At 43.3% G+C, this 12,757-nt stretch overlaps 2 annotated features.

Moving 5' to 3' along the window:
* Positions 245–539: a silencer, noted in NCBI's record as "tiled region #15284; HepG2 Repressive non-DNase unmatched - State 13:Ctcf". NCBI's record gives its function as "represses a minimal TATA promoter and a strong SV40 promoter by Sharpr-MPRA in HepG2 cells {active_cell/tissue: HepG2}" and the evidence as "EXISTENCE:reporter gene assay evidence [ECO:0000049][PMID:27701403]".
* Positions 3,374–4,573: an enhancer, noted in NCBI's record as "P300/CBP strongly-dependent group 1 enhancer chr5:169646378-169647577 (GRCh37/hg19 assembly coordinates)". NCBI's record gives its function as "activates an origin of replication core promoter dependent on BRD2, BRD4, P300/CBP, MED14 and CDK7 cofactors, with strong dependence on P300/CBP, by STARR-seq in HCT116 cells {active_cell/tissue: HCT116}" and the evidence as "EXISTENCE:reporter gene assay evidence [ECO:0000049][PMID:35650434]".

Genomic DNA, 12,757 nt, shown 5'->3' on the forward strand with positions numbered 1-12,757 from the left:
TTTTAATGCACCTGTGGGCAGAGGAATTAGAAAAAGACAGCCCGAAGCAGCCTCAGCACTCCTCCTCCTCTCCTTCCTCCCTCCCCCTCAGTACAGCTTGGTGAGAGAAGCCGAATTCAAATGCAGTCAAAGGGTCCCTTGAGATATTAGGGTTCTATTTCTTTGCTTCTCTCCTTTCATCCATAAATATGGACGACTTCCCTTTATGCTGGTAATGCAAGAGAGCGCAAGTGACTAGCCCACAGTCCAAAAACCAGCCAAAGACAAAAAGAATATTCAGGGTTCCAAACTGTGGAGTGTCAGTCAATAGATTTCTGTTCAGTACTTACACAGTTCCTGCCACAAGAAACTTATTGCCCTTTTAGCTTCCAAGTGAACTGAGCTCTCAAATGCTGCATCAGAGCTGCTGGGAGCTGCTGCAAGTTGGCTGCCTCTTTATTAAGGAAACAGCATCCCCTGCTGTCACTCCTGACTACATACAGATTTGCTTTATATATTATCTGAGCTGTGTCAAGATTGGATTGACACCCCTTCACTATACCTCTGGAAAGAAGTCCACCCTGGCCACTGTTCATTGTTTTGTTTGTTCAATTTATTTGAAATGAAATTGGTGTTTAGAATTTGGGGATACCATCTGATACATTATCATTATTACTGATAATAACAATTAGCAATTAGCAAACCAGGTATTGTGCCAAGCACTTATATGCATTATTTTATTCAAATCTCTCAACAATAAAAATTATCATATCCATTTTATGGATTAAGAAACTGGAAACATTGATCCCTTGGCACAATTACTTTTATTGAATAAGGTAATATTTACTCACACAACACACTTGTACTGAGCACCTGCTGCATATCAGGCTCTAGAGGCACAAGGATGAATGAGGCATTGCCTTTGTCTTTGTAAAGTCATAACAGAGAAAGGAGGGAGAACAAGAGGAGAAAAAAACTAATGTTGATTAGACATCTAGTCTGTGGCACTATGCCTGGTGTTTATAATTGGGCAATTTCATCTCATTCTCCAACAATCCTGGGAGGTACGTTTTTATATATCCATCTTACAGGTGAGAAAAACTAAGGCTCAGAGGGTTCAAATGACTTGCCTAAGGTGACACAGCTGGTTGGTAGAGCAACTGGAATTTAAACTCAGCTCTCCTTGATAGCAAAGCCACACTTTTTGAGAAGATATATTGGAAGAAATTATTGAAAAAAAAAGGTTTATTGAGGCCCCAGAGGGGTCAAGAAGATGAAATAAGCAACTCGATATAGAGGCAGTCAGGTAATTCACTAAAACAGTTGCTGATTTTGGGTTTTGTCATTTATTCATTTCCTCAGTCATCAAAGGAGCCTAAAACATGTTTGTTGAGCATGTACTATGAGTTAGATATGGAAACCAGGGAGATGGTAATGCCCAAGATAGTATAATGACACCTGTCTTCATGAAGCCTATAATCAGGAGGATAAGGGGGTCCAGCATTCGACAGTGGGACTCCCAGCAACCTCTCAGATTGGGCCCAAGTGCTGAGAACAAAGGTATAGCAGGGTGCTACAGGAGTGCAAGCAGTGCCTTAAGTCAGATGAGGGTGTGTTTGGAGGACCTGGCCGAGCAAGTTGCATTTGAGCTGCCCTAGAAGGCTGGGGAGCACCAAGGAGCACTTTCTCTCTAAACAGAGAAAGGATGGAAGAGCTGCCCAGTAGAAGAGGTAGCAGGCATGAATGTTCAAGTCAGGGAGCCGTTGGGAGCGGGGACGTTGTGCAAAGGAGACATGGGGAGGAAAGTGAAGCTGGGCAGTAGTTGGGGGCAATCAAGCAAAGCTAAGAATATGGAACTTTAACCTTGGAGCAGCATTTCATAAACGAGCTGTGGGGAGCACAAACTCTGCTTTTCAAAAATGGATGCATAATATTTGTACATATTGACATGGGATATGTGATATTTTGTTACATGCATAGAATGTGCAGTGATCAAACCAGAGTGTCTAGGATATCTGTCACCACAAGCATTTATCATTTCTATGTGTTGGGAACAATCCAAGTCCTCTCTTCCAGCTACTTTCAAGCGTGCAATACATTGCTGTTAACTATAGTCACCCTACTCTACTGTCAAATGTTATAGCTTATTCCTTCTATCTAACTGTATGTTTCTACCCAGTAACCAACCCCCGACTTACACCCAAATCCTTCCCGGGATAGTTCTCTGATAACCGTTTTTCTATTCTGTACCGCCCTGAGATCAGCTTTTTAAGCTCTTACATATGAGTGAGAACATGCGATATTTGTCTTTTTGTGCCTGGCTTATTTCACTTAACGTAATAACCTCCACTTCCATCCATTTTGTTGCAATGATTTCATTCTTTTTTATGGCAAAATAGTATTCCATTGGAAAAATATACTATATTTTCTGTATCCAATTGTCTGTTGATGGACACTTATGTTGATTTCATGTCTTTGCTACTGTGAATAAGTATTGCGATAAACAGGGGGGTGCAGTATCCCTTTGATATACTGATTTTTGTATAACAATAATATACAAAATTTTTATTTTGTTTCTCTGTCCCCAAACATACCAACAGTTTTGTAAAATAAATAAAATGTGAATTAGTATAAAAATAAACAGAACACGAAATAATAGCACAAATTTATGATTACTAGATTCCACTGTCATAAAATCACTCTGTCAAATTGCTGTTACTGTACTTCTTTCATTGTGGAGAGGGTTTGCAAACTGGCACCTGCCAAGGACCACACTTTGAGGAGCAAGTATTTGAGAACCTCAGTGAGACACCGACTGTATCTGTGTCTGGAAGAATAAGAATAAGTGGCATTCAGCCAGGAGACAAGGGGAAAAGAGCAGGCAAGGAAAGCATTGAAGGCAAAAGCAGAGCCACATGAAGCAAGCTGGTGTATTTGGGGACTGGCAGATGGCTGGCTGGGTAGGCTGGAGAGGTGTGAGAGAGAGGCTGGCAAGCAGGCAGTGTCTTGGAGGGCTTTTTCAGCTATGATGAAGAGCTGAGCAGTAAGAACTGTACCAAGCAGGCCCTAAATGTCAAAAGTACCTGCCAGGATCATTGCTCTCTTGTGAGTGTTATGAAAGCAGCCAGGGGCTGTTCTACCTGCAAAAACTGCTCTGTTTTGCCCATCTGATTGCCAACCTCAGCACACCTATTCCAAAAAAGAAAAAAGAGAGAGAAGAAAGAGAAAGAGAGAGAAAGGAAGGGAAGAGAAGAAAGTGGGAGGAGATGGGAGGGGAGGGCACACCAAATAAACAGAGCCCAGAGCTCCTCCTGAATAGCCTTTGACACATTATTTGGATGAACCCATGGGTGGGTTTTTGTTTCTTTTTATCAGGCAAATGGAAGTTTCACTCAGTTCCTCAAAAAGTGCCCAGGCAGGTAGAGAGCATCCATCTGCGATGGGTTCCCCTTCCTGGAAGCCACAGCACCATCCAGCCCCACAGTAGGTGGATGCAAATTCTTGGCTGAAATGAATGTGAGCTCAGCAAGATGATCACCGTGGTCCTGACCATCATCATTGTTGCAGTGGAAATTATCCAGGAAAAATCCAGAAAAAGAAATAGCATCCAGGGCCTAAGGGTGTGGAGTTGAAATATAACCTTTACTCTCACCCTGAAAAGAGCTTTGGAAGGGACTGTTCAGTTGAGGCAGCCACCAACTGAGCCACCAACTCAGTTGCAATGAGTCATTTTACAGGCTTTGCAGTAAATTGTCACAGCTGGGCTGTGAATGTGGTCATCCGGACTTTAGATAATCAACCAGTGAGCTTCTAGATCCTCTTGAAGCTCACATTCTGGAGGACAGAAAGGCAATAAAAAGCAAATATATAATAAATGAAACACTTCCTGATTGTGGTAAGTATCAGGAAGAAAATAAATGGGGTGATGAATCAGGGAATACTGGAGGAGTGACTCAGTCACTGTCCCAGCAGAAAAGAGAGGGCACGCTCAAATTGGGTAATTTATTAAAGAGACAATTTACCATGGTGTGGGCAAGACTGGATAAAGGAGAAAGTTATGAGGAAGCCCCTCCCCCCACCCCAAGGCTAAAAACAGTAGGGCACCATTGCTCTCTCTAGGCCTGAAAGGGGCACAGGGAGAAAGCAGTGCCCAGAAGATGTAACAAGAGGACATTGGAGGGCTGTTCGACAGGAGCCACAGCCATCAGCAGGGATGGAGTAGGAGTAACAAATGGGACCAAACATTAGAGATGTCATTCTTCCCCCGGGGTACCCACCAGATGCTGCACTTCCAGTGTGGATTTCTCTGCATACACAGCTTGACAAAGCCAGGTTAGGGAGACGAGATGGCCCAGCTCACAGTAGAAGTGGTTGAAGATTCCACTATCATCTCACATTAAACAGACACTCTTCAAGTGCAGTTGCTTTTGCAGACACCCCTGGGACTCAGATGAATGCAAAGGGGCCATTTGCATACCAGAACAGCTTAGCACAGATGAATTCTCTTCCATCTTCCTTGTCAGGCTGCAGGGAGGTATGCTCTAGACCTTGAGAAATGACCTTGGGCAAGCCATTTAATATTTTCAGGCCTCAGTTTCCTCATCTGTAAAAAGAGAGCATTAGGCTTAGTGATTTCTAGGTACAAAATTATGCTGTGTAGAGGAAGAAGCACTTTGAAGCAGGGGGAGGTGAGTTCAAATCCTCTATACCTCAGCTGGCTGGCCAACCCTGGGAGCACCACATCTCTGGGTCTTAGCTCCCCTACCTACCAATGTAAGTGATAACGTCTATCCAGACCAATCACAGCATTTAGACAATGCATGTTAAATCCCTTGTATTTTGTGCAACGAGTCAGAGCTCCACACATGTCTATCCATTTGCTGCAAGGCAATGTAACATAAAGGTCAAGAGAACAGGCTCTGAGTGAAGTACACAGCATGGGTTTGAAACCAACTGCCTCTACCACTTTCTAGTCAGGGACCTTGGGCAAGTCACTTAATACCTCTAAGCCCCCACTGTTTCATCTGTAAAACCAAGGAGAAATGCTGGCTGAATCCACAAGGTTGTTGCCAGAATCAAATTAAATAATACATATTGAGCACTTAGAACATCTTCCTTCAGTTACGATATTCTGCAGCTGTAATATAACATTACAAAGAGCTTTCCAGAATGTTCTCTGATTTTTTTAGTTCTTTTAATGCAACAAAGTTACCTGGGATTGGTTAAATATGGTGTTGCCAGAATTTTCACTATAATGGCATTGCACCCAGAAGCACCTAGCCTAACCTTGCTTTGCCCTGGGTGGCCAGCATCCAAGACGGCAGACTGTGAGAGCGGCTGAGGAAGAGCACCAGAAGGAAAGATCTGCGCAATCAAAGGCATACTGACCCCAACTCTCTGCATCCCAATATATTGCCCTAACTGCTTTTTTAGCCCCCTAGTGTGACTTGGTGTGAAGCACAAGCAATTCAAGTGATTAAGAAGGGAGTTACTAATTTAAATGAATAGCTTTGGCAAAATGAGCTCCTCGAAGAGCTCTGAGGGAGATAATGGGGCCTTGTGTTTGGAGGCTAGAGTCAGGATGGTTGTTTATGGCGCTCTAGGGCCAAGTATTGCTATAGCAACAAACGACTTAGCAACTGTATTGAACAGACTGTTTCTTTGAAAGAGTTTACATAATAGGGATTACTCGAGTTCTTTCTGGGAAGGATAACATTAGTACTTTTTTCTCCCCTTTTCTTAAACCTAAGAACATTTGGACGCAAAATCCTTTTTCAAAAGCTGTACAACAAAAGGGGGGAAATGACTGAAGGTTTTGAAATAAAATGTTAGCAGTTACATTCCTTGAGTGGAGAGATTACCAGTAATGTTTTTGTTTTTCTTTTTGAGTGCTTTTCTGAGACTTCCATGATGGTTTTGGTTTTGTAACTAGGATTAATTTCCATTAAAAGAAACAAATTGACCAGCCTGGGCAACATGGGAAGACCTCATCTCTATAAAAATTTTAAAACTAAAAAAATTAGCTGGGCTTGGTGGTGCGCACCTGTGGTCCCAGTTACTCGGGAGGCTGAGGTGGGAGGATCACTTGAACCCAGGAGGCTGAGACTTCAGTGGGCCATGATGACTCCACTGCACTCCAGTCTGGGTGTGAGTGAGACCCCATCGCAAAAATATATAATAATAATAATAATAATAATAATAATAAATTGACTATGATAAAATATAAGCCTGGAAATGTTAAGAGGGTGCTTGTGACCCAACAAGGATGGGGCCTGGCCTTGGTGGAGGAATGGCCCTTGGGGGACTTGCAATACTGTGGCGGGCTCCTGGCATTTGCTGGCTTTGTGCTGGCTTTGACTATGGGAAAGCACCCCAAAGGTTAATGAGTGGCCTGGCCAGTTGGCACCTGGCTGACGTGAGAATTTGAATCCTGCTGCCCTTGGGATGGGGGAAGGGAGGGAGCCCCACCACTGCCCACTCTCCCATTTCACCCCCACTTGACCCTGCAGCACCTATGGAGCCACTAGGGAAATCAACATCCTGTTAGTTTGTGACAAGTGGGCCTAGGATAATGGAAAAGAACAGGCAGCAGTTAATACATGACATGAGGGTTTGCCCAGAGAGCTCATGGCTTTGGAAGAAAATAAGAGTTGAGAGACAGCCAGGATATCTATCTTTACATTGTGAATTTAGTAATTCATGAAGATCTTAAGACGCATTTCTCTAAAATGCTTTTTCCAGTGATCATTATAATTGTTTTGTGGTTGGGAATTGAGGGAGCAAGGGAATTTCAGGGGGAAAATAATCTAAGCAAAACTTTCAGCATGTATTTCTTGAGTTCCTTCCGAATACAATGTATTGATTTGAAGGAATTAATTCACAGTTGTGCAATCATAATATGACAAACTATGTTCATAAACAACATAGTACATATAATGGTTAAAAGCCACAGGTTTGGGATCAGACTTGCATCTGAAGCCAGTACTGCAATAGCCAGCTGTGTGATCTTCAGCCACTTGCTCGAGCTTATAGAAATAGGCAGTGCAGCTGGGATTTGAACCCATGCGTATATTATCCCAGAGGCCTGGATCCCTAAGTCAAACAGTTTTGGAATGGAAAGATTTGTGGCTTTCTGGGGTGTCCACAGTCTCCTCTCCTCCATCTATGTGATCTGTCTTGCACCAACTGCAGTTCTAGCCGGAGAGTGTTCTGCCTGCTGTCTCGTGCACCTGAGAACCTAGGCTTAGGGACACTTTTTGTGTTTAGGCTCTCCCATCTGTCTCCATTTCTAATTTTGTCAGAGCCATGAATTAAGCTGGAAACAGATCCAATTTATTAGTTCCATTCCTGCTCCATGATTGTGCCCAGAGGCTCGTAGACACACACTGTAAATCACAAAGAATAATAATAATAATAATAATAATAAAGAGCTCTCTGTTGAAAGCTGCCTTAGGGGACATCTGTCAGCTTGTTGAGGACCCCCAGAGAGCCAACTTCCTCTTTCCTCCTTCCAGAATAAACCACAAGAAGAGGAGTCAGTAAGTGAGGGAAACTTTAAGGTCAAGTGGAGACAAATTCCCAGCCCCATCCACTTTCTTGGCTAGCCATAAGCATTCTTATCCTTCTTTTCTACAAAAACAGGAAATTTATATATTAATGTGCCAAGCCCTTTGCACAGATCAAATGCAATCCTCCCAACAGCCCTATTAACTAAATACAGCTACTCAAATTATCCTCATTTTATGCATGAGGACACTGAAGAGTTACAGAGGATAAGTAACTCGAGGATGCACACCTCATTAATTGAGGAGCTAGGATTTAGATCCAGAGCCTCATGATTCTAAAGCCTGTTTTTTGTTTGTTTGTTTGTTTGTTTTGTTTTGGCCACACTAGGTTTCTAGAAACTTCCAGTTCCTTCTTAAAAGTCCTTTTTGGGCATTCCGGCCTAAATCCCAAAACTGTGGTCTGGGTACAAGAGAGAATTAGGCCAGTGAGAAAAATTTAAACCACCCTGCCCTCTAAATGTCTGTCTTCTTTCGGAGACTGGTGAAAGTTTCTCAATCACTCAGCAAGTAATCTCATTGTGAGCCAGGCACGGAACTAAGCACTTGCAGAACAGAGGCAAACTAGACACAACTGCAGGCCTCAACAAGCTCGGTCTAGTGGGAGAGGCAGATTGGAAAACAAACATGGCAAACCATTCGAGGTAGTCTCAAGAATGGAGGGGATAGATAACAAGATGTAGGGAGAGGAGTTTCTAAGCAAATGTCCTATGCAACCCTAGAAACAATATGGAGGAATAGAAGGCTGTGAGAGGAAAATAAGATCTCAGGGCCCCAAATTCACTGTGCCAAAGGGAAAGGGCTCATCCTGGAATCTGAGTCATGAACAAAACAAAAACAAAAACAAAAAACAAAAGCAAAAACAAAAAACAAAAAGACCTGCCTTTGCTTTTGTTTCTAAACTGATAGCTACAGATAGAAGGTTGCATGTCTCCACAGAAGGCCTTCCTCACCCTGACAATGTAAATCAACAGCTTATCTTCATGGGTATGGGACAAGAGGAGACTAGAAATTGTCCCCACTCCCCATCCCAAGACAAATGTGCATTTGATTGACTGCTTCCTCTACTCCATGTTTACTTTATCTTATGTAAAGTGCAGATTTACTGAGCATGAGACAAACATATAATTGACTATTTCCTCTACCCCCTCCTTTTCACTACAACGTGTGGAATGTGACCATATCCTCCCTTTATTTTCTCTTTCCCCTTTCTCATCCTACCCATTTTCCCCTTTAAATATCAAAGCCCTCAAAATTCTCTTTGGAAGAAATAGGGCCACAGATCCGACTGTGGCTTGTGTCTCTTTTTCCCCATTGTGTTCTCAACCTTGGCAAAATAAACCTCTGAACTGATTGAGATCTGTCTCAGATACTTTTTGGTTTATAAGGCATAAGGCCCAGCCATTTCCCAGCTGAGTAATCTGGAGTCCAACCCTGAGTCTTTCTGAGTCTCAATTTCCTCAGGCATACAATGGGAATATGAATTGTTTCCAAGGCTCTCACAATTAAATGAGATCATATAGGCCATGCTTAGCATCCCATTCTTCCATCACCAGGTGTCACCTATCACGGAGTCTGTGCTGATTCTACTTCTAAACATTTCTGTAATGTCATTTCCATCTCTTCTGCCAACATGTTAAACAAGGCCCCATCATCTTCCCCATGGATGACTGCAATACACTCCCAACTGGACTTCTCATATCTATTCTTTCCTCCTGTCCAATCTGTTCTCCATTGTGAAGCCAGGATCACCTTTTTAAACTCCAATTATGAGCATACCACCCACTACCTCCCATTCGTCACCTGCTTAACACCCTTCAGTGGCTTCCTACAGGCATCAGGAGAGAGAATGTAACCCTCTGCATAGCATGGTTGGCCCCTGCTCCCTCTCCAGCCTCATCTCACCCTGGGTTCCCCCTCACTCCCTGCATCCCCGCCTTGCTGACATTCTTTCAAGCTCTCCCATCTGCCAGGATGCCTCCTGACATGAGGGCCTGAAATATGCTGTTCCCTCTGCCTATCATGCTCGTTTCTCCTTCTCATCTCAGCCCAAATGTTCCCTTTCCAGGGAAGCCCTCCCTGAAAGCTGCCCCAGCCGTGTCACCGTCCCCACTGGGACATCCTTCCTTCCTTGATAGCTTCTAATTGAATCCTCACTTAATATGCATTTGTGTGATGTGTGGATTCCAGTCTGTCTCCTTCACCAGACCATGAGCTCCATGGCTCACCCCTACATGCCTCAAACTTAGCATGGTGTCTGATACACAACAGATGCTCAAGAAAGGTTTGTTGTATGAATATTAAATGCATGGCACTTGGGAAGTTTATAAAATTGTGACTTCCTTTTCCCTTGTCTAGGGCTTCTTATATATGAAAGTTAAAAAAAAGTGTGTTTTTGTTTGGTGGTTGTTTTAATGAAACATTATTTGTCAAAGTCTCCAACAGTGCAGATCCCTAAGATTTCCCTTTCTGCAAAAGATGGCCAGCAGAGGGCCCCATAGGAGCAATTACTGAAGTCAGGTCAGCGAAAACAGCAGCTGCTGAAAGATAGCCGATCCTGTGCCCAAATCTCTGGCAGTCCTTGAGCAGCTTGGAGAGAACATCACCATCATGGAACCCTGGCCCACTATGTCCAAAAACTGTTTGATCTGGCCTCAAGAAACAGGAGTTCATAAGGCAGGAGATCAGAGCCCTGCGTAGACGGTTTTAATGCAAATCCCTGCTTGTTTCTTGAGTTGCCAGTTTCACGCTTAAGAATTTGTAGTCAAGAGCTCGCACAGTTGGGTAGAATCACGCATGAGTGTTAGGGGAGATTTGCTTTCTTTGGGGGCCACTTTTCGTTTTCCAGTCAGTAGTTTTATTTCCATTTTAATTTTCCGAGCATCTGGCCCCCAGCAACAGCCTGTGGTTTGGAATTCATGGCTCTGTTGTGTGTTTACGCACTACACTTGCTTGTAATTGACAAATTTAAATTCTGGTCATATTTCATTTATTACCCAGACCCAGGGAAAAATCCTAGGCGAAAACCTAATTACAGCAAAAGTGCCACAAGGTAATTGCTGTGAAAGAACTCCTGCAGCAGCAGGGCTGAATATTTCATCCACCCATAAAATGATTATGCTGACAAGATTCTGAAAAATAATAAAATCTGTTTAATAAAAAAGAAGCAAAATATCAGTGTTTTTACACACAAAGTATTAAAACATTCTTCATTTTGGACAGATCCTAAGTCATTTGATTTTTATTCAAATGATGATCCACAGCTGAGATAGTTCTTTTATCAGAAACCGGGGTTGGGTAATCCCTCCCACATGAGGCTGTGTGGAAGCTTCCAGGCCTGCAATGGCCTTCTGGAACAGTACTGAATCGGCTTGCCACTGCTCTATTGGATCTCTGGTCTGTGCCACAGAATCAGAAAGCAGATGGAATGAAAGGAGAATGCCTTTAGTTTAGACTGCTGTCACTCCCCCACATTCTCCCTGGCCACCATGGGGGCTGTCTGTCCTTCTCTCAGAGGACCTAGAAGGCATGCAGGTGTGACTTCTGCCCTCAGAGCTTTGTTGAGTCCATCAGGGCATCTGGGGGTAATTTGCATCTGGGTGTCTCCAACTGTCCAGGATACCACTATAGCAGGGACCACTGCATTCATTCAGCTACTGAACAAGGTTGTATGGAGCATTTACCATGTGCCAGGAATTGTGTTAGACACAGCGTTGATAACAGTGAACTAGACCCTTGGTTCCTGCCCTTGACAGGAACTATATTACAGTGAAAGAGACAGGTCAAAACCAAAACAAAAAGTAAACAGAAACATAAATAAAGCATAACAAATTATATCAAGTACTGCATGGAAACACAGAAGGGGCTGGGAGAGAGGATGGGGCGATATCAGAGTAAGGCCTCTCTGAACCCTAAAGCAAAACAAGGAGCCAACATGGCAAGCTCAGAAGGAAACAGGTTCCAAACAACCGCTGGCCTGTGCCAGGCCTGAGAGGAGAGTGAGGGGAAGGGAGACTGGAGCTGTGGGGCCTTACGGACCAGGGTCAGGAGTGTAGTGTTTATTCCATTAAGGGAAACCCCTGGGAGGCTTTAAAGCAGGGGAAAGACACAATTCCATTTACATTTTAAAAAGCTCATCCCACTAGAGGCTGGAGCATATACAGTGGCTCTTAGGGACAAAGATGGTAGGTGGTGGGAGCAGACAGGAAGGACATTATTGTAACACAGGGCAGGACCAGGGCAGTGGGAGTAGAGGCAGGAGTACAGGGGGTTTTTGAGTATGGAAATTTACATATAAAAACATAAATATTTTACAAATCATCTAACATCTCAGATGTTAGCATTAGACTTTCCATTATGGTTGCAAGTGAAACTAGAGATCAAAAAATAAAATACAGCCAGGTGTGGTGGCTCACGCCTGTAATCCTAGCACTTTGGGAGGCTGAGGCAGGAGAATCACCTGAGGTCAGGAGTTTGAGACCAGCCTGGCCAACATGGTGAAACCCTGTCTCTACTAAAAATACAAAACTTAGGTGGGCGTGGTGGAGCATGCCTGTAATGCCAGCTACTCAGGAGGCTGAGGCAGAATTGCTTGAACACAGGAGGCTGAGGTTGCAGTGAGCCGAGATTGCACCACTGCACGCCAGCCTGGGCAACAGAGCAAGACTCTGTCTCAAATAAATAAATAAATAAATATAAAAATAAAACAAATTACTAGGAAATAGAAGAAACAAAGACCTAAATTAGAAAGAACTTGAAGCTGGGATGCCCATCTCCTTCTTCTCACTTTAGAGAATATAGACATTGAGTCTTCGTATCCTCGTAAGCTGCCAGCCAGTGTTTCTCAAACATGATCCAAAGACTTCCTAGGTTAAAATAGAAGGAGTCGGGAGGGCAGGGGATTACAAATGCAGATTCAGGGAGCCTCACCTTAGATTCACTAAAGCTGAGTCTTTGAGGTGGGCCCCAGAATCTGCATTTTCACAAGCTCCCTAAGTTGTGCACTGCAGAGTCTGAGACGCTGTGCTTTAAAGTGATTGATGTATCATGCTGAGAAATCACCTGACAGGGGTTAAAATTATGACTAGGCTAAATAAATAATCACGAAGAAATAAATCTCATTATCATTAATGTTAATAATCCTTGTAAACATTTTCGTAGATACGCTTCCAAATTTGCTCTTATGCACATATGCATTCTTTTTTTTCATAACAAAA

The sequence above is a fragment of the Homo sapiens genome, chromosome 5 (assembly GCF_000001405.40).
Source record: "Homo sapiens chromosome 5, GRCh38.p14 Primary Assembly".
In the NCBI taxonomy this organism is placed as follows: domain Eukaryota; kingdom Metazoa; phylum Chordata; class Mammalia; order Primates; family Hominidae; genus Homo; species Homo sapiens.